Source organism: Homo sapiens, chromosome 2 (assembly GCF_000001405.40).
Source record: "Homo sapiens chromosome 2, GRCh38.p14 Primary Assembly".
Classification (NCBI taxonomy): Eukaryota; Metazoa; Chordata; class Mammalia; order Primates; family Hominidae; genus Homo; species Homo sapiens.
The window spans coordinates 109625916-109649225 of record NC_000002.12 but is presented as its reverse complement, the minus strand read 5'-3'; the positions used below and the strand labels follow the sequence as shown (position 1 = coordinate 109649225).

General features: G+C 45.3%; 1 protein-coding gene across 1 annotated transcript in view, besides 3 other annotated features; it reads right to left on the bottom strand.

The window, feature by feature from the left end:
- Positions 1 to 23310, bottom strand: part of RANBP2 (RAN binding protein 2) — a 1122820-nt gene that overhangs the window by 193076 nt on the left and 906434 nt on the right. The window lies entirely within an intron of this gene.
- Positions 10214 to 10353: an enhancer, noted in NCBI's record as "active region_16368". NCBI's record gives its function as "activates an Ori minimal core promoter by ATAC-STARR-seq in GM12878 lymphoblastoid cells {active_cell/tissue: GM12878}" and the evidence as "EXISTENCE:reporter gene assay evidence [ECO:0000049][PMID:35858748]".
- Positions 10648 to 10757: an enhancer, noted in NCBI's record as "active region_16367". NCBI's record gives its function as "activates an Ori minimal core promoter by ATAC-STARR-seq in GM12878 lymphoblastoid cells {active_cell/tissue: GM12878}" and the evidence as "EXISTENCE:reporter gene assay evidence [ECO:0000049][PMID:35858748]".
- Positions 11158 to 11347: a silencer, noted in NCBI's record as "silent region_11863". NCBI's record gives its function as "represses an Ori minimal core promoter by ATAC-STARR-seq in GM12878 lymphoblastoid cells {active_cell/tissue: GM12878}" and the evidence as "EXISTENCE:reporter gene assay evidence [ECO:0000049][PMID:35858748]".

The following is a 23310-nucleotide window of genomic DNA, read 5'->3' as shown; positions in this document are numbered from 1 at the left end:
AGTTTTGCTTTTACCAGCTTTGATGAATCTTGCTTTTTCTCATTCTTTAAATGGTTTGGTAATCAGGTGTTTATTTCCTAGTTTGCAATAAATACTGAAAATTATAACTGTTAGTGAGCATTATCTATTACCGTTTTGTCTTTTTGGGGTGAAAGTAGTTACCGAGCACCAGGCCGTCAACTGGTCCAGGTCGCCGTTGTTGTGACTGCAGCCACCTACCTGATTGTCCTACCTATACATCCAGCCCTCTCACCCGCAACCAGTCCATCCTCCGCACAGCAGACACTCCCAGCACTCCACACTCCCGGCACTTTGGGAGGCCAAGATGGGTGGATCACAAGGTCTGGAGTTCAAGACCAGTCTGGCCAAGATGCTGAAAACCCATCTCTACTAAAAATACAAAAATGAGCCCGAAGTGGTGGCACGTGCCTGTAATCCCAGCTACTCGGGAGGCTGAGGCAGGAGAATTGCCTGAACCCAGGCGGCAGGGGTTGATGTGAGCCAAGATCACGCCACTGCACTCCAGCCTGGGCAACAGAGCAAGACTCCGTCTCAGAAAAAAAAAAAAAAAAAGATGTAAATCAGCTGGGCATAGTGGTTCACACCTGTAATCCCAGCACTTTGGGAGGCCAAGGCGGGTGGATCACCTGAGGTCAGGAATTCAAGACCAGCCTGGCCAACATAGTGAAACCCCATCTCTACTAAAAATACAAAATTAGCCGGGCATCATGACATATGCCTGTATTCCCAGCTATTTGGGAGGCTGAGGCAAGAGAACTGCTGGGAGGCGGAGGTTGCAGTGAGCCGAGATTGCATCATGCATTCCAGCCTGGGCAACAAGAGTGAAACTGCCTCAAAAAAAAGTGTAAATCAGATGGTGTCTTTCTGCTGCTTAAAATCTTCCAGGGACTCCCACTGCACAGAGAATGTTGTCCACAGATCCCTGCCAGGCTGCAGCCAGCCAAGCCTCCTTCCTGCCTTTGAGTTCTCTGCTGTTGGTTCAGTGGTTCGGTGTTCACATTCTTCTCCCTTCAGCTCCCAGCCCACGCCAAGCATTCCCACCCGAGGACCCAAGCGGTCACTATCCCTTCTGCGGGGCTGTGCCTCTCATGCTCTCAGTGAAGCCAACCTTGGCCACTTAGTTCTTGCACCCTCTCTGTTTCCATCCTGTAACCCCTCCTAATGTGTGATTACTGCTAATTGGCCCACTTGTTTATTTTCTGCCTCCTCCAACATACTTAAGCAGCTCAGCAAAGGGTTAGGGTGTGTGACACATCACCCCAGAGCCAGGCCTCAGTGGGCACTGAGTGAGGCAGCTAACGGGCATTTGTGGAATGATGCTTGTTCTCAAATTCTTGGTCAGACCAGATTGCCAAAGACTTTCAAGAAGCAAGGGCATACAAGCAAGCCTAGTTTTGCTTCTCTGGCTCTAATGTTGTTTAAGTGAGGAGAGCCGAGCCGGGCGGGGTGGCTCATGCCTGTAATCCCAGTACTTTGGGAGGCTGAGGCGGGTGGATCGCCTGAGGTCAGAAGTTCGAGACCAGCCTGGCCAACATAGTGAAACCCCATCTCTACCAAATATACAAAAAATTAGCTGGGCATGGTGTCAGGCAACTGTAATCCCGGCTACTAGGGAGGCTGGGGCAGGAGAATCACTTGAACCCGGGAGGCGGAGATTGCAGTGAGCCGAGATCACGCCATTGCACTCCAGCCTGGGTGACAGAGTGAGACTCCATCTCAAAAAAATAAAAAAAGTGAGGAGAGGGCCGGGTGTGGTGGCTCACGCCTGTAATCCCAGCACTTTGGGAGGCTGAGGTGGGCGGATCACAAGGTTAAGATATCGAGACCATCTTGGCCAACACGGTGAAACCCCGTCTCTACTAAAAATACAAAAATTATCTGGCCGTGGTGGCACACGCCTGTAGTCCCAGATATTTAGGAGGCTGAGGCAGAAGAATCGCTTGAACCCAGGAGGTGGAGGTTGCAGTGAGCCAAGATCATGCCACTGCATTCCAGCCTGACGACAGAGCGAGATTCCATCTCAAAAAAAAAAAAAAAAAAAAAAAAAAAGTGAGGAGAGCCATTGAGTGGCTGACACTTCCCAAAAGGATCACGCACAGGAAGGTCTGGGCTGGGAAGCAGAGCCCAGCACCCTGCCCTGTGGATCAGACAAAGGGAAAAACTGCATCTCATCTACAGATGTTTTATGTATTTCTTCCACGATTTTAAAAACTTCCATAGAACATTGAGGTAGTGAAAAAATACTGAAAATTTGAAAAACAAGTTTATTAAAACTCCTAGTATTGTTTTCAATGTAAACATTTTGCTTACACCCAAAATAGAATTACCATTTTACTTTCCTGGCTTTGATGGAAGCAAACCCTTCCAACAATATTTTCTTAAAATTATTAGCCATTTGTGGCCGGGAGCAGTGGCTCACACTTGTAATCCCAGCACTTTGGGAGGCCTACGTGGGTGGATCTCTTGAGGTCAGGAGTTCAAGACCAGCCTGGCCAACATGGTGAAACCCTATCTCTACAAAAAATACAAAAAAAAAAAAAAAAAAAATAGCCAGTCATGGTGGCAGTCGCCTGTAATCCCAGCTATTCGGGAGGCTGATGCAGGAGAATCACTTGAACCCAGAAGGCAGAGTTTGCAGTGAGCCGAGATTGTGCCATTGCACTCCAGCCTGGGCGACAGAGCAAGACTCCATCTCAAAAAAAAAAAATTATTAGCCGTTTACAAATACATGCAAACATGAGTACAGGGGAGAGCATTACTCCTTTTGCCTCAGGCTCCAGTGTGGTTGGGCATGATGCAGTCAGAGCCTGTCTGCATTTAATATAGTAATATTTTATTTGTGATTTTTAAAAATTCATTTAATTTTTTAAAATATTGCATCAAAATATCATTTATCTGGATGACTTTTTGCCTCTTGCCCCCTTACATTTTGCACCCGATGTGAGCGTCTCACACACCTGACCCTGGTCCTAGTCTGAAGCCAGTGCCACTTTCTGGGTGAAGTAGGTCTTGCCTTACGGATAAGGGACAGTCACCTGGGAGAAGACCAGAAATAAAATCAACTAACAGAACATAGCCTAGGGTGAGAGCATGGTAGATTGCCTCAGAAGGACCAAATGCCGGAGGAGGGAAGGTTGGGGACAGCATTCCGGCCCCAGCCGGTAGAGCTCAGCTGGTGTCAGGCTTCACGTTTCCTTTGACTTTAGCTCCCTTGAGTTCTCCCTGGTGTCTGTGAAGTTTTCATGAGCATTTCAGCCTTTTTTGGCTGCGTTGAGAGTTTTGTCTACACTCCGAGCATAGAGTTTGAAATGGGAATGGCGCACCCCTGAGAGCCAGTATGTGGGAGACAGCCATAATCAAATAATTACAATGAACACTCATGCTGGACTTACCGGGTATAGACACAGCTTCATCTATGTTCACAGATTCTAACCTCCAAGCAGCTCTAGGAGGTAGGCACTAGTAATAACTATTTTTGACTGATGAGGAAATTGAGGCAGAAAGAGGTTTGTCCACATATTTAAGTGAAGGGTCGGGAATTCCAGTCTAGACAGGCTGACTCTTGAGTCCAGGCAGGGGACCCTGAGCCTGTCGCACCTCTCAGGAATCCAAGCTTCAGACCATGTGGCAGCCTGAGCTTGCAGGTACAGCCAGGCTTGGTTTGTTTAGCACATCTCCCCGGAAAGCCTTCTTTCAGAAGCAAACTGAGGAGGACCCGCATTTACTTTTGTAAGGCGTAGTTTCGCTTACTAATGACAGCAACAATTGGCTTTACACAGAGAACAAAATCTCAGGCTGAAAGGGTGAATTTCAGGCATCTCTCATCAGGGATTTGGCCAGAAGGGGCTGGGTGCCCACTCTGTGCCAATTCTAAGACTCCTTGCTGTTCTAGATTAAGGTTGCTGAATTTACGTACTAAGTGGAGGGGTATTTGCAACCTCCCTTCACTCTGTAAGCTAATTTACATTTAAACCTTGGTTGCCTCTCGCTGGCAACTAAGGCTCCACAACAGCCGTCAAGGAATTAATTTCTGGGGCCCATGAAGGCGTGCCTGAGAAATAAAAGTGCTGTGGGAGAATTTTGCCAACAGGCTGAAGAGCAACCTTGCTGCCATGCACACAGACATTTAGGATCCCGCTGGCTTGTGAATCCTGGCATAGTTGCTGGGGGCCACACAGTCGGGAGGCAAACAAAGCTGCTCAGTTAGCACTGCAGTGCTTTTCCTGGGAGTGGGAACTCGCAGGAGCAAACCAACTAGGGAAACGTCCCTAAAGTAGACAGCTTCACCAGAGTGGTTATTGTTGACTTCCTCTTCTGGTTGTTTAAAGTGACAGGCCTTGGGGCTTAGGATCTTGTGATCTAGAAAGCAAATATTGACAAGCAGCCGGGGGGAGGCAGGGCAGAAAACAAGGTCCAGGTTTAGATGACAGCTCCGCTAAGAAAAGTGGAGGGCAGGCCGCAGGCTGACATTCCAGTCCCAGCGGCCTCATCCAGGCAGCCTTGCTGTGACTGCCCGGGAAAACAGTGTTTCACATGCCCTTGGGGATAAAGAGAACACAGGAGCCAGTTCACAGTTCTGAATGTGGTTACTACAAAAGCCCACTTTCTTTTCTATTCTTTTTTTCCCTTGGAGCTATTTTGCAGACAGTTTTTAAGCAATTTTTCTTTAGATTCTGAAAAACCCCAACTCTAACACAAACTACTTTTCTTTAACCATATTCTCTACCTTAGTGATCTGATAAGAGGCCATGGTTTTCAATACCATTGGAACCGCCCGAGGCATTCACCTCGCCAGCTGCCTAGACAGAGTAGATTCATCAACACAGGGAAATTGCAATAGTGAAAGAGAAATTCGTGCAGAGTCAGCTGTGCAGGAGACTGGAGTCTGATTTTTTTTTTGAGACGAGTCTCACTCTGTTGCCCAGGCTGGAGTGCAGTGGCGTGATGTCAGCTCACTGCAAACTCCACCTCCTGGGTTCAAGAGATTCTCCTGCCTCGGCCTCCGGAGTAGCTGGGACTACAGGCGTGCACCACCACGCCTGGCTAAGTTTTTAGTTTTTTTTTGTTTTTTTGTTTTTTTTTTTGAGACAGAGTCTCACTCTGTCGCCCAGGCTGGAGTGCAGTGGTGCGATCTCAGCTCACTGAAACCTCCGCCTCCTGGGTTCAAGCGACTCTCCTGCCTCAGCCTCCCGAGTAGCTGGGATTGCAGGCGCCTGCCACCATGCCCGGCTAATTTTTGTATTTTTAGTAGAGATGGGGTTTCACCATGTTGGTCATGCTGGTCTTGATCTCCTGACCTCGTGATCCGCCTGCCTAGGCCTCCCAAAGGGCTGGGATTACAGGTGTGAGCCACTGAGCCCAGCCCAGAGTTCTATTATTACTCAAATGAGTCTCCCCAAGCATTCAGGAAACAGGGTTTTTTGTTTGTTTGTTTGTTTTTGAGAGGGAGTCTCACTCTGTGGCCCAGGCTGGAGTGCAGAGGTGTGATCTCAGTTCACTGCAACCTCCACCTCCTGGGTTCCAGTGATTCTCCTGCCTCAGCCTCCCAAGTAGCTGGGACCACAGTCACGTGCCACCACGCCTGGCTAATTTTTTTTTTGTATTTTTAGTAGAGATGGGGTTTCACCACGTTGGCCAGGCTGGTCTGAAACTCCTGATCTCAGGTGATCTGCCAGCCTTGGCCTCCCAAAGTGCTGGGATTACAGGTGTGAGCCGCTGCGCCCAGCCTTTGGCAGGCTTCTTTACTGCAACCTGCTTTATCAGCAAGGTCTTTAAGACCTGTATCTTGTGCCGACCTCCTATGTCATCCTGTGACTTATAATGCTTAACCGTCTGGGAATAGAGCCCAGTAGGTTTCAGCCTCATTTTACTCAACCCCTATTCAAGATGGAGTTGCTCTGGTTCAAACGCCTCTGACAATTTGAACTGGAGTTTATGCTATGTTTATGGAACATTTATGTACTAGTACATGCTTTTCTAGCCAAGTTGGGAGATGATCTTTTTTTTTTTTTCTTTTGAAAAGAGTTTTGCTCTATCGCCCAGGCTGGAATGCTAGAATGCAGTGGCACGGTCACAGCTCACTGCAGCCTCAAATTCCTGAGCTCAAGCAATCCTCCCACCTCAGCCTCCTGAGTAGCTGGGACTTATAGATGTGAGCCATCACACCCGGCTAATGTTTTAAAAAAAAATTTTAGTAGAGACAGGGTCTCACTGTGTTGCCCAGGCTGATCTCAAACTCCTGAGCTCAAGCAATTCACCTGCCTCAGCCTTCTGGAGTGTTGGGATTACAGGCGTGAGCCACCACACCCGGCCAAGACTATTCTTTATCTTCCAATATGAGATGCAGATTCCAGACTTTGAGTGCATACATCACACTGTCCTATGCTGGAACCAAGCATTCAGTCATCACATGATTTAGCCTAAGTCTCATCTCTTCTAACACTTCCAATCTTAAAAAATTTTCCCTTCTGTGGTAATCAATAACACACAAGTTTGTATATCTCACCTTCAGCACTGATATTGTTAGTTACCTTTCTTTTTTTTTTTTTATTTGAGATGGAGTCTTGCTCTGTTGCCTACAGGTGCACGTCACCATGCCCAGCTAATTTTTTGTATTTTTAGTAGAGACGGGGTTTCACCGTGTTAGCCAGGATGGTCTCAATCTCCTGACCTCATGATCCGCCCGCCTCGGCCTCCCAAAGTGCTGGGATTACAGGCGTGAGCCACCGCTCCCGGCCTTGTTAGTTACCTTTCTATGTGCACATGACTTTCCTATCCATCTAGGTTATAAATTACTGAGACCAAGAACTTTGTTTGGCGCTTTTTAGCACACATAGCACTACAGTCCAGAGTAAGTGGTAAATGAATCTGGTTTTGTTAAGTGTCAATAATCAGTTAAATGCTAGTGGTAGAAATTTGAAAGCTTGGGAGGAAAAAGATGATGATACCTGAAAGTTAAATTAGGAAAAATAAAGCTGAAAGCAGCCAGGTGCAGTGGCTCACACTTATAATTGCACTTTGGGAGGCCAAGGCAGGTGGATAACACGGTCAGGAGTTCGAGACCAGCCTAGCCAACATGGTGAAACCCTGTCTCTATTAAAATACAAAAAAAATTGGTTCACTCCTGCAATCCCAGCACTTTGGGAGGCCAAGGTGGGCAGATCACAAGGTCAGGAGTTCAAGACCAGCCTGGTCAACATGATGAAACCCCGTCTCTACTAAAAACCCAAAAATTAGCCGGGCATGGTGGCAGGCGCCTGTAATCCCAGCTACTGGGGAGACTGAGGCAGGAGAATGGCTTGAACCCAGCAGGCATAGGTTGCAGTGAATGGAGATTGCACCATTGTACTCCAGCCTGGGCAACAAGAGTGAAACTTCATCTCAAAATAAAATAAAATACATTCACATTGTGCAATTGTCACAGTGCAATGCAAGGTATTAAAAAAAAAGATGGTGATGGGGTGGAGCAAGAACTGTAAATTAAAAGTGATTCAAGAGATACATCAGCCAGATGCAGTGCATGAACCTAATTTGGATTCATGCATCTGGAGAACTTTTCCATCCTTCCAAACTGAAACTCTTCACTCATTAAAAATAACTCCTTTTTGCCCCTTCCTCCTAGCCCCTGGAAACCATCATTGTACTTTCTGTCTCTATGAATTTGACTACTGTAGGCTCCTCATATAAGTGTAATCAAGCAGTGCTTGCCTTTTTGTGACTGACTTATTCAGTCAGCATCATGTCTTCAAGGGTCACCCGTGTTGTGGCATGTGACAGGATTTCCTTCTTTTTTAGGCTGAATAACATTCCATTGTGTGTATGGACCACATTTTGCTTATCCGTTCATCCATCCATTTGGGTTGTTTCCATCTTTTAGTTACTGCGAATAATAATGCTGCTATGAATGGGCATGCTGGTGTATTCCTGTAATCCCAGCTACTTGGGAGGCTGAGACAGGAGAATCGTTTGAACCTGGGAGACAGAGGTTGCAGTGAGCCAAGATCGCTCCACTGCACTCCAGCCTGGGCAACAGAGCAATACTCCATCTCAAACAAACAAACAAACAAACAAATAAATAAAACCATTCCTTTTGTTTTCAAAACCCAAGTCTCTGCTTTCAATTATTTTGGTATATACTCAGCCCAGTCTATATTTGGAGGCCATTATTTGTAGTTATGTACTTTTTAGACATCCCAAATATCTATCTTGTCCCCACTTTAATTCTCGAAGATCTACCCTCCATTTCTATCCTTTAGTAAGCCCAACCTAAAAGCCATAGCCTCCAAGTGTCAGGAGGTTTTAAGAGTCGATTTGGAAGGAAAGGCTGGGGTTGTGGACAGGCACTCAGTCATAGGATTCGGTCCTTCCTGCTACACCTGGGCCTGATTGAGAACAGCAGATGCTCAGTCTCCAGGCTTAGGGACTCGGTATGACTGTTCAGTAAACAGCGGTCAGACAGAAGGAAGACAGAGCCCAGGAATCTGAGCCTTCTACTTTATACTTGAGTGTGGCCGGGACTCCTAAGAGCAGTTGGAAGGCACTGTCCGGAGCTGAGAACAGTGGACCCTGCTGCTGTGCTGCAGTCCCGCGAGGCCCTCAGAGAATAAGCTTCTCCGCCACAGGCTTAAGTCTGTCCAGAAAAGGGACCCTGAAACACATGCTTACTGGTCAAAGTGATTGTGAGGAAACATTAAATATTAAAGGAGACTTGGGTTTTGAAAACAAAAGGAATGGTTTTATTTATTTATTTATTTAAGATGGAGTATCACTCTGTTGCCCAGGCTGGAGTGCAGTGGCACGATCTTGGCTCACTGCAACCTCTGCCTCCCAGGTTCAAGCGATTCTCCTGTCTCAGCCTCCTAAGTAGCTGGGATTACAGGCATGCACCAGCATGCCTGGCTACTTCTTGTATTTTTAGTAGAGACGGGATTTCGCCATGTTGGCCCGACTGGTCTCAAACTCCTGACCTCAGGTGATCCGCCCGCCTTGGCCTCCACAGTGCTGGGATTACAGGCATGAGCCACTGTGCTGGGCTGGAAGCATATCATTTCTAAGCATTCGTGGGACTCCTCCATTCTACTTAGTGCATGCTTTCAGAAAAAAAAAAATAGAAGGCAGAAGAAGGAAAGAGATATTCACAGCTTTGCGGAGAAGGAAGTTACTTGGGTTCTTTTCTGACCTTAATCTAGTATTATGGCTGGGCGCAGTGGCTCATGCCTGTAATCCCAACACTTTGGGAGGCCGAGGTGGGTGGATCACCTGAGGTCAGGAGTTTGAGACCAGCCTGACCAATATGGTGAAACCCTATCTCTACTAAAATTACAAAAATTAACCAGGCATGGTGGCATGCGCCTGTAATCGCAGCTACTCAGGATGCTGAGGCAGGAGACTTGTCTGAACCCAGGAGGTGGAGGTTGCCGTGAGCCAAGATCACCACTGCACTCCAGCCTGGGTGACAGAGTGAGACTCTGCCTCAAAAAAAAAAAATCTAGTATTGTTAGAAAACATAAATGACCTCTTAACAGCATTTTATGAAAAGCCTTGAGATTACAGCCCATTTTTTTATTTTTTTTTATTTTTTATTTTTTGAAATGGAATCTCACTCTGTTGCCAGGCTGGAGTGCAGTGGTGCAATCTCGGCTCACTGCAACCAACGCCTCCTGGGTTCAAGCGATTCTCCTGCCTCAGCCTCCCGAGTAGCTGGGATTACAGGCATGTGTCACCACACCCAGCTGATTTTTGTATTTTTAGTAGAGACGGGGTTTCACCATGTTGGCCAGGATGGTCTAGATCTCTTGATCTCTTGATCTGCCCACCTTGGCCTCCCAAAATGCTGGGATTACAGGCGTGAGCCACCGCGTCCAGCTGAGCCAATATTTCTTATATGATTTCTGGGGTCCAATAAACACTTATTAAAGCCTGCAGAAGACTTTAGAGGAATTCTCTTTTCCACAATATCTACTGAGGTAGAGAAACACCTGCTTATTTGCTTAGTGTAGATTTGGCCTAATGCTAAATCCATCACTGATTACTATCAATTTCTCAATTCAGAACGAAAAATATGAGTGAATATCTGCAAATGAGTAGGTGCTGGAGATGAAACTACCTTGACATATGAAAGGAATATACAATGACAAAAATCATTCTAAGCATTAGTCAACTAGCCCCTTCTGTCAGAGAATATTGTGTAGAAAGTCCAGGCGACGTCTCTTAGCAGCAACATCTGCTGGGTGCAGGCTTTGTTTTGGAGCAAGGCCAGACCTCTACTGGAGGTAGGAGAAAAGTCTCCAGTCTCTATGTATGCCAAGAAGCATCATCTCAGGGGGTTGGCAAAAGAACCAGAGAGTGTTACAAGAGAATCACTTCAGCAATGCAATTTCCTAGGCATTTAGAACTGTGGGGTTGTTTCTTTTTTTCAGTCTTTGCAGCTGAGATCAAGCCCCCATGAATGAGCCGTTAAAAGAATCTAAAAGAGAATTGAAAAACAGGCTCCCTATTACTGAGACTCCATTCAAAAACAATTTTTGTTTTTGTACTACTGTGCAAACCTACTCTTTGGAAATATATTACCTGGGAAATCTGGAATTTATTTTATTGACACATGCTTGAAAGCTAAATCTAACTGATTTTTAAGCTAGTCAATGGGAAGAGGTCATGCAGGAGACCAGCAATTAGATCACTGCTATCTTTTTGTAGATGGCTCAGCTCCACTTTGGAGCTCACCTTCAGGAAAAACAAAGCAACCCCACACCAGTCCAAACACATAACATGCACACCTGGTGGGGAATTTGGAACCTGAGCTTGCTCTGATGGAACATGAAAATGAAAGTTTCGGGGAGTAGTTATGCCTCATTTGAAACTATTTTCAGAGAGCAAACGTAGTGTTTACCCCTTTCTTTAAATGAGCCTCATTTTGCTTCTAGTGAGTGCTAGGAATCCTTGAAAAGCCTAACTCTTAACTCTTTTGCCTGTTTAAATATAAGTTGTAATAAGAGCACAAAGACCTCCCATGTTATCTTTCATCGTGCTTCCAACTGTTAACCTTTTGCCACATTTACTTTATCCTCCTCTATCTCTTTCTTGTATTTTGAAAGTACAGTCATGTACAGTCATGATGCTCTTTAGCCCAGATAGTTAGCATGCATTTCCTCGCAGGAAGGACATCCTCTTACACAATCACAGAACAGTGATCAGAATAAGGAAACTAGCATCGTCGCAACACTATTTTTTGTTTGTTGGTTGGTTTTTGAGATGGAGTCTTGTTCTGTCACCCAGACTGGAGTGCAGTGGTGTGATCTCAGCTCACTGCAACCTCCGCCTCCCGGGTTCAAGCGATTCTCCTGCCTCAGCCTCTTGTAGGGAAAAGAAAGAGAGATCAGACTGATACTGTGTCTATCTAGAAAGGGAAGACATAAGAAACTCCATTTTGAAAAAGACCTGTACTTTGAACAATTGCTTTGCTGAGATGTTGTTAATTTGTAGCTTTGCCCCAGCCACTTTGCCCCAACCTGGAGCTCACAAAAACATGTGTTGTATGAAATCAAGGTTTAAGGGATCTAGGGCTGTGCAGGATGTGCCTTGTTAACAAAATGTTTACAAGCAGTATACTTGGTAAAAGTCATCGCCATTCTCTAGTCTCAATAAACCAGGGGCGCAATGCACTGCAGAAAGCCGCAGGGAACTCTGCCCTTGAAAGTGGGGTATTGTCCAAGGTTTCTCCCCATGTGATAGTCTGAAATATGGCCTTGTGGGATGAGAAAGACCTGACCATCCCCCAGCCCAACACCCGTAAAGGGTCTGTGCTGAGGTGGATTAGTAAAAGAGGAAAGCCTCTTGCAGTTGAGATAGAGGAAGGCCACTGTCTCCTGCCTGCCCCTGGGAACTGAATGTCTCGGTATAAAACCCGATTGTACATTTGTTCAATTCTGAGATGAGAGAAAAACCGCCCTATGGTGGGAGGCGAGACATGTTTACAGAAATGCTGCCTTGTTATTCTTTACTCCACTGAGATGTTTGGGTGGAGAGAAACATAAATCTGGCTTACATGCACGTCCAGTCATAGTACCTTCCCTTGAACTTAATTATGACATAGATTCTATTGCTCACATGTTTGTTGCTGACCTCCTTATTATCACCCTGCCCTCCTACTACATTCCTTTTTACTGAAATAATGAAGATAATAATCAATAAAAACAGAGGGAACTCAGAGACCGGTGCCGGTGCAGGTCCTTGGTATGCTGAGCGCTGGTCCCCTGGGCCCACTGTTGTTTCTCTATACTTTGTCTCTGTGTCTTATCTCTCTTTCTCAGTCTCTCGTCCCACCCGACTAGAAATACCCACAGGTGTGGAGGGGCAGGCCACCCCTTCAGCCTCTTGAATAGCTGGGATTATAGGTGCCCACCAACACGCCTGGCTAATTTTTATATTTTTGGTAGTGACGGGGTTTCATCATGTTGGCCAGGCTGGTCTTGAACTTCTGACCTCTGGAGATCCGCCCACCTCAGCCTCCCAAAGTGCTGGGATTATAGGTGTGAGCCACTGCACCCAGCCAACACTGTTTTAATCTTCAGATCTTATTCAGATTTTGCCATTATCTTAATAATGGCCTTCATAGCAGAAGTCTGAGTCACATGTTGCATTCTGTTGTCATATTTCTTGGGTCTCCTTTAATCTGGAAGAGCTCCACAGTCTCTCTGTCCTCTACAATATTGGCATTTTGAAGAGTACATGCCAGGATTAGGAAAGTCCCTCCATCTGGGTTTGTCAAGAGTTCCTCATTGTCTCCTTTGGGTTATGCAATTTTGGCAAAGATTTCATAGAAGTAATGTGTTCTTCTTTTCATAGAAGTAATGTGTATCCTATCAGAAGGCATATTATTTTTAATAGAAAAAAAAAATCTTGGTATGCTCTTCTCAGTGAAAAAAACCATGAGAGTTCTAAACCATCATCAGATTATTAATGTCCTAGTCTATTTGGGCTGCTAGAACAAATTGTCACAGACTTGGTGGCTTATAGACAACGGACATTTATTTCTCACAGTTTTGGAGGCTGGAAGTCCAAGATCAAGGTGCCAGCAGGTTCAGTGTCTGGTAAGGGCTCACTTCCTGGTTCACAGATGGTGCCTTCTCTCTGTATCCTCACATGGAGGAAGAGGAGAGGGAGCTCTCGGGGCCTCTTCTGTAGGGGCACTAATTCTAGTCATGAGGGCTCCACTGTGACCTGATCACCTCCCAAAGCCCCCACCTCCTAACACCGTCACATTGGGGTGAAGATTTCAACATAAGAATTCTTGGAGTATACCAACATTCATGCCATAGCACTTAATAACCGTAATACAATTCTGTGTTTACTTACCACTTTCCAGTAGTGGGAAAAGTTAGACAGCATATCTTATTCATGTTTGCAACTTAGGACCCGGGAAAGTGCATGGCATCTAATTGGAATCCAGTAATATTTTTCAAGTGAATTCTTTTTGAGGCACAGAGTACTCTCACTTCATCTGCACAATCCAGTTTTCTGACTTCTGCTCTGTGTCCCCCACCGACCATCTGAGACGAGGTAGGGTCAGACAACCCAGTTATGGCTCAGCTCCCTTTTTGGATGTAGCATCTGGCTCTCCTCATGAACTAGGAAAACGCTCTCACAGCGAGGATCTGCCACTCACTCCAGTGCTTGATGGGTGTTGGATTATTGAACAAATGCCTGCTTAAAATACAATATGCTAGCTGGGCGCAGTGGCTCACATCTGTAATCCCAGCACTTTGGGAGGCCGAGGTGGGCAGATTATCTGAGGTCAGGAGTTCGAGGCCAGCCTGGCCAACATTGTGAAACCCTGTCTCTACTAAAATTACAATAATTAGTCGGGCATTGTGGCATGCACCTGTAATCCCAGCTACTCAGGAGGCTGAGGCAGGAGAATTACTTGAACCTGGGAGGCAGAGGTTGCAGTGAGCCAAGATGGTACCACTGCACTCCAGCCTGGGCAACAGAGCGAGACTCCATCTCAAAATAAATAAATAAATATAAATAAAACAAAATAATACATGCCAAGAGGCTCTTTCACTTCTGCTGAACACTGGAGTTTCTTTTTTTTTTTTAACACTGGAGTTTTATACAGTAGATTAAACACCTAGGTCAGTGACAAAACATTATTTTTACAATTTACAGAAAATGTTAGAGCATCATTAGTTTCAAGTTTCTCCATGAATGTGTCTTATCACTTAGGCTTTTGCCACAGCCTATTTGTGAATGATTGCTGGTAGATGACAAAATAAGTAAACATGCCAGCAAAGGAATATTTAATCATAAAGGGACAATCATAATTGTTTACTCGTCCTTTTATTTCTTCATGAACATGCATTCGTGGTTGTGACTTTGTATTATGTGCAAATAATTAGTTTTAGTAAATATTGGTTATAATCTTTATGCTAATCTAAGCCTCCTTCCCATGTTAGTTCTCTCTTACTTTTTAACATCATGAGTTGTTGTTATTATTGTATTATGCAGTCAATATTCTTTTGATTTTTCCACATAGATGTACCAATATACACGTCACCATTTGAGTCTCAGGATTTCCATCTGGGATTACTTTATCAGCCCCAGTATAGTTCTTTAATGAGTAACTGTGTTGGAGGCAAACTATCTCCATTTTTATTTGTTTGAAAGATATCTTTATTTTGCCCTCCATCTAGAAAGTCCTGGAAGCTCCACCTTCTGTGACAGCTGAGAGCTACTTCTGTGCATGCTCTGAAGCTCTCATTCCCTGGCCTCCTGGCCCTCAGTGATGTGATTCAGATACAAATTCAGCCTAATCACCCTTTTTTGGAGATAATCTTTTTCTTTATGGCTTTTTTTAATGTCTTCTCTTTGTAAATGGCATTCTAACATTTTATTATGATGTGTGTAGGTGTGGGTTTCTATTGGTTTCTGTTTATTTATTCTGCTTGCAATTTGTTGGACTTCCTGATCGGTGACTGGTATTTTTCATCAACTGGGAAAGATTCCTGGCTATTATATCTTTGAATACATTCAGTCAAAGCTATTGTATCTTTTTCTTTTCTTTTTTTTTTTTTTTTTTTTTTTTTTTGAGACAGAGTCTCACTCTGTCGCCCAGGTTGGAGTGCAGTGGCGCGACCTCGGCTCACTGCAACCTCCGCTTCCTGAGTTCAAGTGATTCTGCTGTCTCAGCCTCCTGAGTAGCTGGGACTACAGGTGCCCGCCACCACACCCAGCTAATTTTTGTATGTTTAATAGAGATGGGGTTTCCCCATATAGGCCAGGCTAGTCTCGAACTCCTAACCTTGTGATCCACCCACCTTGACCTCCTAAAGTGCTGGAATTACAGACGTGAGCCATTGCGCCAGGCTGACTTTTTGCACATCAACCCATCTGTGACAGTCCTGGAATCTAGCAGTCTCTTACAATGACCTATGCTCATTTCAACGCTAAATCATTCATTTCCCCCAGCTTCATCCTCTACCTGGGAGCTGAGTCATCTGGGTTTCCGTTTTATCTTGGCTTTATTTTGGGAGAGGAGAGAAGAGAGAGGTTGGGGTTGTCCCTTCCCTCTTGGCGGTGGCTCTGCAGGGCTGTGTCCTTCTGCAATGGCAGGTCCTGCTGGATGGCCCCTTCTTGAGGTCCTCTGCCACCCAAGCACTGATGATACCTCAGGCTTGAGGGTGGTAGCTGCTTCCCTGGGCGCCTCAGCATCATTTCCTGCCTGTTCCCCTGGGCGCCTCAGCATCATTTCCTGCCTGTTACCTTCATTCTGTCTGTTTTTTTGTTTTGTTTTGTTTTGTTTTGTTTTGTTTTTTGAGATGGAGTCTCATTCTGTCACCCAGGCTGGAGGGCAGTAGCACGATCTCAGCTCACTGCAACCTCCACCTCCTGGATTCAAGTGTTTCTCCTGCCTCAGCCTCCCGAGTAGCTGGGACTACAGGCGAGCACCACCACGTCCGGCTAATCTGTGTATTTTTAGTAGAGACGAGGTTTTTGCCATGTTGGCAGGCTGGTCTTGAACTCCTGACCTCAGGTGATTCCACCCGCCATGGCCTCCCAAAGTTCTGGGATTACAGGTGTGAGCCACCACGACCGTCCCTGTCTGTTCTTTTTAAAATCATGTCTTCGTTCAAAACTTTAAAAAAAAATTCCAGTGGATGTGCCTTCTATTTCCCATCAAAACCCTGCCTAACGTAGTTCCCCTCCTCCAAGCCATGCTGTTCTCCACAGAGCGCGAGTACAATACAAAGAAGGTATCACATTTGTGGTAACTGGTAAGAGTTGGGAACTGAAAGAATTTGAAGGGAAAGAAATCTAAAATGATTAGTGTGTGTTTCATCTTGGACGTCAAGTTTTTGTTTTGCTTTGTTTTGTTTTGTTTTTTTTTTTGAGACAGAGTCTCGCTCTGTTGCCCAGGCTGGAGTGCAGTGGCGTGATCTCGGCTCACTGCAACCTCCACCTCCTGGGTTCAAGCGATTCTCCTGCCTCAGCCTCCTGAGTACTCGGACTACAGGCGCCCGCCACCACACCCAGATAATTTTTGTATTTTTAGTAGAAACGGGGTTTCTACTAAACACCATATTGGCCAGGCTGGCCTCGAGCTTCTGACCTTGTGATCCGCCTGCCTTGGCCTCCCAAAGTCCTGGGATTATAGGCGTGAGCCACTGCGCCCGGCTGGACATCAAGTTTTAAATGGATAATATGACATTCTCTTTCCACCCAAACTGACCTGACCAGCTGGGTGTACAGCAATTCAATTGCGACACTAACTTCCTGGAGCTGGTGCAGATGCCACAGATTGAGGGCAAAGTTCACCACAGACCCCTAGTCCCCTTCAGACACCAGCCACAAGTCTCAGAGGGTCCTCAGGGCAATTGTACTCTGACTCCAAATTTGGGAGTTCCCATGACCCCCTTAGGTTTGATCATTTGCTAGTACAACTGGCAGACTCAGGAAAGTGCAATGCTTATGATTAGCTTCACTGTAAAGCATACAAATATGGGAGGGTCCCAAATGCAGAGCTTCAGTGGCCTTTCCTCGTGGAATCAGGGCACATCACGTCCTGGCACATCAACATGTTCACCAACCAGGAGGCCCTGGAAGCCTCCGGTTCTAGAGCTTTTACTGGGATTTTATTTTGTAGGCACAAGTGATTAAACTACTGAACCTGTGATTAATCTCAACCTCCAGACCCCCCTCCTCTCTTCAAGGTCAGGTGACTCAAATTCCCCAACCCTCTAATCACCAGGCTGGGCGGGTCTTTTGGTAACCAGCCCCCATCTTGAGGCTGTCTAGGGTTCCACCTTTACCTTAGTAGCATAAAAAAGCCCTACCACTCAAAAAACCCCAAGGGTTTTTAGAGTCTCCATACCAGGAATTCAGGACAAAGACTAGACAAATTATTTGTTATACAACAGAGATAATGAGATTTCTTTCTTTTTCTTTTTTTTTTAGACTGAGTTTCGCTCTTGTTACCCAGGCTGGAGTGCAATGGCGCAATCTCAGTTCACTGCAAACTCTGCCTCCCAGGTTCAAGCGATTCTCCTGCCTCAGCCTCCTGAGTAGCTGGGATTACAGGTGCCCGCCATCACGCCCTACTAATTTTTGTATTTTTAGTAGAGACAGGGTTTCACCACGTTGTCCAGGTTGGTCTCGAACTCCTGACCTCAGGTGATCTGCCCACCTTGGCCTTCCAAAATGCTGGGATTACTGGTGGGAGCCACTGCACCCGGCCAGAATTTGATAAATTATTATAGATGTCATCATTCAACCTATTAATTGATATCTATATACTTAACTCACTTTCCAAAAAGACTTGGGATTACAAATAAGACTTCTTTTCAAAATATTTCATATGACAAGAAAGTATAATTTTTCCAATTCATAGGAAATAGTCTACATGGAGGTAGGAGTGTAGGGCTGAGCATCCGCAGTTGTAGGTCCAAGTCCTGGCTCTGCCACAAGGTGACTTATCCCTTATCTCGGAGCTGAATGAGATGACATCTGCAATCCTGTGACTGCCACAGTCAGCTTCCAGGTCATATAGCAATGATATCATGTCTGTTTAATCATCAACAGCAAGCCCTTTTTCCTTTTCAAGTTATTAATCTTGGATACTTTCTGTTGTTTGTTTATTGTTTTTGATTTTTGAAGACGGAGTCTCGCTCAGGCTGGAGTGCAGTGCCGTGACCTCGGTTCACTGCAACCTCCGCCTCCCGGGTTCAAGTGGTTCTCCTGCCTCAGCCTCCCGAGTAGCTGGGATTAGAGGTGCCTGCCACCACGCCCAGTTAATTTTTGTATTTTTAGTAGAGATGGGTTTTCGCCATGTTGGCCAGGCTGGTCTCGAACTCCTGACCTTAGGTGATCTGCCTGTCTTGGCCTACCAAACTGATGGGATTACAGGCATGAGCCACCGCGCCCAGCCTCAATCTTGAAAACTTTCTATACTCATACTATCCATCCCTCAACATTACCTCCACAAAGTCTTTCCTGATCCTTGTTTTGTACTCTTTTAGGAAATCATCAGTCAGGTGTGGCTATGAGAGGAAACAAAGGAGAGACTGGGGAGAGCAAAGTGCATTATGCTCATCGGTCCTAGAGAAAGGAGGCATGCCGCGCTACACAGGCCACACAGCAGACACCAGGGTGGCCAGGAGGTGGAAGACAGGAGTCAGGGAAGGGTCAGGCCATGGCCTTTATGGTGGTTTCCACAGGAACCGCAAGGCAGGGCAGAATGGACAGTATAGGATTGGCTAGAGCGGATAATTCTGGTGGGCTCTAGACTCTAGGGATGGTCCCTGGTTGCCTGGAGTACTACCTGGCCTTGGGATGATTGAGGTAGAGGAGCCGTCTGCTAGGGTTTGCAGGCCAGATAGAGGAGTGCTGGCTCTGGGTTGGTTTGTTTGCCTGTCAAAGGCATGCTCCAACCTGAGCCTGTTATTTCTTATCTCCAAGAATTGGCTGCCCCAGGGAGGGTTTTTTAAGATGTCAGAACATCATAATATACATAAATATATATATATGTGCACATATATGTATTCCAGCTAGAGGATTATAATTATACACACGCTTACACACATAATACATGCAATCCTCCAGCTGGAATTTCTCCTGTCTCCTAAACCTTAGTGTCACTTTGTCTGTCTAGCCCACATGGATTTTCTTCTCATTCTTTCTTGCACTGTAGTTATGTGTGGGCGTGTTGTATTTTACTTCTGACTGTGAGTCCCTTCAGGGCAGAGCCTGGGACATCTAGCTCACTGTGTTCTCCATGGGGGAGGTACTGCTGCTCCCAGTATGAGCTCTAGAATTGCTTTTTAATTAATAAATATTAGCGGGGTACATAACGTATGTGTGTATTTACCAAACCATACTCATACACGTTTTCTTTTTTTTTTGAAACGGAGTCTTGCTCTATTGCCCAGGCTGAAGTGCAGTGGTGTGATCACGGCTGACTGCAACCTCTGCCTCCTGAGTTCAAGCGATTCTTCTGCCTCAGCCTCCCGAGTAGCTGGGACGACAGGTATGCACCACCATGCCTGGCTAATTTTTGTATTTTTAGTAGAGACGGGGTTTCACCATATTAGCCAGGTTGGTCTCAAACTCCTGACCTAGTGATCCACCTGCCTCAGCCTCCCAAAGTGCTAGGATTACAGGTGTGAGCCATTGTGCCTCGCCTCATACACACATTTTCGTACTTACTATTCAAATTTGTACAGCATGGTGTTGAGATTTAAAAATCAATTCTCAACTTAGTAAATACTTGTAAGTTAATTGTTATATTAAGGTGAAGATTTACAATTTTTCAAGCTTGTGAAAATGAGGTCCAGGAAAATGAAAAAAAAAAAAAAAATATATATATATATATATATATATATATATATATATATATATATATATATATATCTTTAGGCCAGGTGACATTTGTACTTGCTGGCAGCTCTTCAGTATTTAAATGTTAGTTAAGCATTTTATTTATTTATTTATTTATTTATTTATTTATTTTTGAGACGGAGTCTTGCTCTGTCGCCCAGGCCAGAGTGCAGTGGCAGGATCTCAGCTCACTGCAACATCCGTCTCCTGGGTTCAAGTGATTCTCCTGCCTCAGCTTACCGAGTAGCTGGGATTACAGGCATCCACCACCAGGCCCAGCAAATTTTGTAATTTTAGTAGAGACGAGGTTTTACCATGTTGGTCAGCTGGTCTCAAACTCCTGACCTCAGGTGATCCACCCACTTCAGCCTCCCAAAATGCTGGGATTACAGGCGTGAGCCACTGCACCCAGCCTAGTTAGACATTTTAAATGACTGCCAACCTGCCTGCCAAGAGCACGAACTCCCTCAAAAGGAAGAGAAAAATAACTCTCACTCACTTAAATATTTTTTGGTAAGGTTAAAAAAAATCTACTGTATAAAAGTAGATAAACACACTACCTGGAATGTGCTTTGAAAAAGTACCATGTCATCTTATTGGCAAAGTGCCTTGAAGCACAACGTGGACAGGTTGGAATATACATAAGCAAGCAGAGAGCTTTGAGAAAAAGAGGACGAGGTTAGCAGAAAAAAATGTATCCACCTGAGAAAGTATTAGAATATAAATGAGGATATAAATGACGGAGGCTTAAATTAGTATAAACTGAATGTGGCCATACTGGGAATAGTGGGAATCTATTTATTTATTTATTTATTTATTTATTTATTTATTTATTATTTTTTGAGACAGAGTCTCACTTTGTCATCCAGGCTGGAGTGCAGTGGCGCGATCTCCACTCACTGCAACTTCTGCCACCTGGGTTCAAGCAATTCTCATGCCTCAGCCTCCGGAGTAGCTAGGATTACAGGCGCAAGCCACCACACCTAGTTAATTTTTGTATTTTTAGTAGAGATGAGGTTTTGCTATGTTGGCCAGGCTGGTTTGGAACTCCTGACATCAAGTGATCCACCCACTTTAGCCTCCCAAAGTGCTGGCATTACAGGTGTGAGCCACTGCACACAGCTGGAATCTATCTTTTTAAATGTGATTTTCTGCAGTGGTTTAGTAGCCTGGAGCATCTCTGCATGATGGAGGGTGGCTGCAGGCCCAGTGCTCAGGATCCTCCCAGAAGATGTCCATGAGATGGGCCACAGGAGCAGCCACCACTGTTACCATCCAGAAGACAGAAAATCAAGAAGTCAATGCCCCATGTCCATCAAAGACACAGATACGCACCCTCTCAAGCCCAGCAATGCATAAATTGTATGTATGTTCACCACAAATCTTTCATTGGAATGTTCACAGTGACACCCCCAAATGATAGCCCTCCTCAACTGATTATCAACTGTTGAAGGGATAAATTGTGTTATAGTCATACAACTATATAGCAATGAGAATAGACCGTCTATTTACAACTATAAGCAACAATATGGATAAATCTTACAAACATTGCTGAGTAAAGTCAGACATATAATATGTACTTCATAATTCCATTTGTGTGGATATACAGAAAGTGTGGAAGATCACCTAAGGTGTTAGAAGTCAGGAGAGTGTCACCCTTGTGAAGAAGATCATGCCTCGCAGGGACACAAGAGGGGCTTCTGGGGAGCTGATGTTTCCTATCTTGTTCTGGGTGCTGGTTACACAGATGTGTTTAGTTTATGAAAAATCATCATTATATATACAGAATGTATGTGCTTTCCTCAGGCCTTTTATGTTCTTCCATTAAAAATTGTTTTTTGCAGGGCATGGTGGCTCATGCCTGTAATCCCAGCACTTTGGGAGGCCAAGGTGAGTGGATCACCTGAGCTCAGAGGTTCGAAACCATCCCGGCCAACATGGTGAAACCCCATCTCTACTAAAAATACAAAAATCAGCCAGGTGCAGTGGCACATGCCTATAATCTCAGCTACTTGGGAGGCTGAGGCAGGAGAATCGCTTGAACCCGGGAGGCAGAGGTTGCAGTGAGCTGAGATAGCACCACTGCACTCTACCCTGGGTGACAGAGCGAGACCCCATCTCAAACTAAATAAATACACAAATAATTGTTTTGTTTTTGTTTTTGTAATCTGAAGTCTTGCTGTATTGCCCAGGCTGGAGTGCAGTGGGTATTCACAGATGTGTGATCATTGCACACTATAGCTTGGAACTCCTGGACTCCTGGGCTCAGCCTCCCAAGTAGCTTGGATTACAGGTGTGTGCCACTACACCCAGCCCTGTTCGTTTGTTTGTTTTTAAGTCACAACTACTCCTTGACTACTGCCTCCACCACAAGTCTGAGCACACACCACCCAGCCGTAGCCCACTCCAGCAGACTGGACACCTGTACACCGTTATGGACACCCACAAAGCTAAAGACCCAACAAGGGCTCCCCTGCCCAGGAAAGGCCCTATTGCCAGCTTGCCTGCAGGAGTGACGATGGCAGAAAAACAGCCTGCACTTTACTTTTACCTTCCTCATCTGCAAGGCAGCTTGGCAGAAGCCAGTCTACTGAAAATCCTCAGAAGTACAGGTCTGAGCAGCATCCTGTTGAGCCTAAGAAATGTACCAGCTTCTGGAAGGGGGCCCTGGGCAAGTGGGCTGGAATAGAGTCGAGTGGCCAGTCTGCACAGCAGCCTTACCTCCCCATTAACTCACCTCCCCATCGACTGGCTGATGTTGCTGATGTCCACCTCTTCAGTTCAGTTCTGTCTGGTGTGTTAAGAATGGAAAGACAGCCTTCTCAGGGGCATTTGTTTGTTTGTTTGTTTGTTTTGTTTTTCGTTTTGAGATGGAGTCTCACTCTTTTGCCCAGGCTGGAGTGCAGTGGCGGAATCTCAGCTCACTCTAACCTCCGCCTCCTGGGTTCAAGTGATTCTCCTGCCTCATCCTCCCGAGTAGCTGGGACTACAGGCACATGGCTAATTTTTTGTATTTTCAGTAGAGATGGGGTTTCACCATGTTGGTCAGGCTGGTCTCAAACTCCAGACCTCAAATGATCCACCCACCTCGGCCTCTCAAAGTTCAGGGATTACAGGTGTGAGCCACTGCGCCTGGCCCTTCTCAGGGGCATTTGGATGTTATCATCTAGATGTTACTGTCAATGAGTTCAAGAAACAACAAAATAGGGACGAACAGGAAGGTTATAGCAAGGGAGACCAAGGTCCACCTGTCATTTTAATTCTTTTTTCCCCTTATACCATATTTCTAACACAGAAAAATGTAGTAGACAAATATATACCCTAGCTTTATCACATTTAAACATCTTGCTATGTTTCATTCTAATTTTTTTCTTAAAGAAAGGGAACACCACAGATCTAGTTCAGTTTCTCCACTTCACT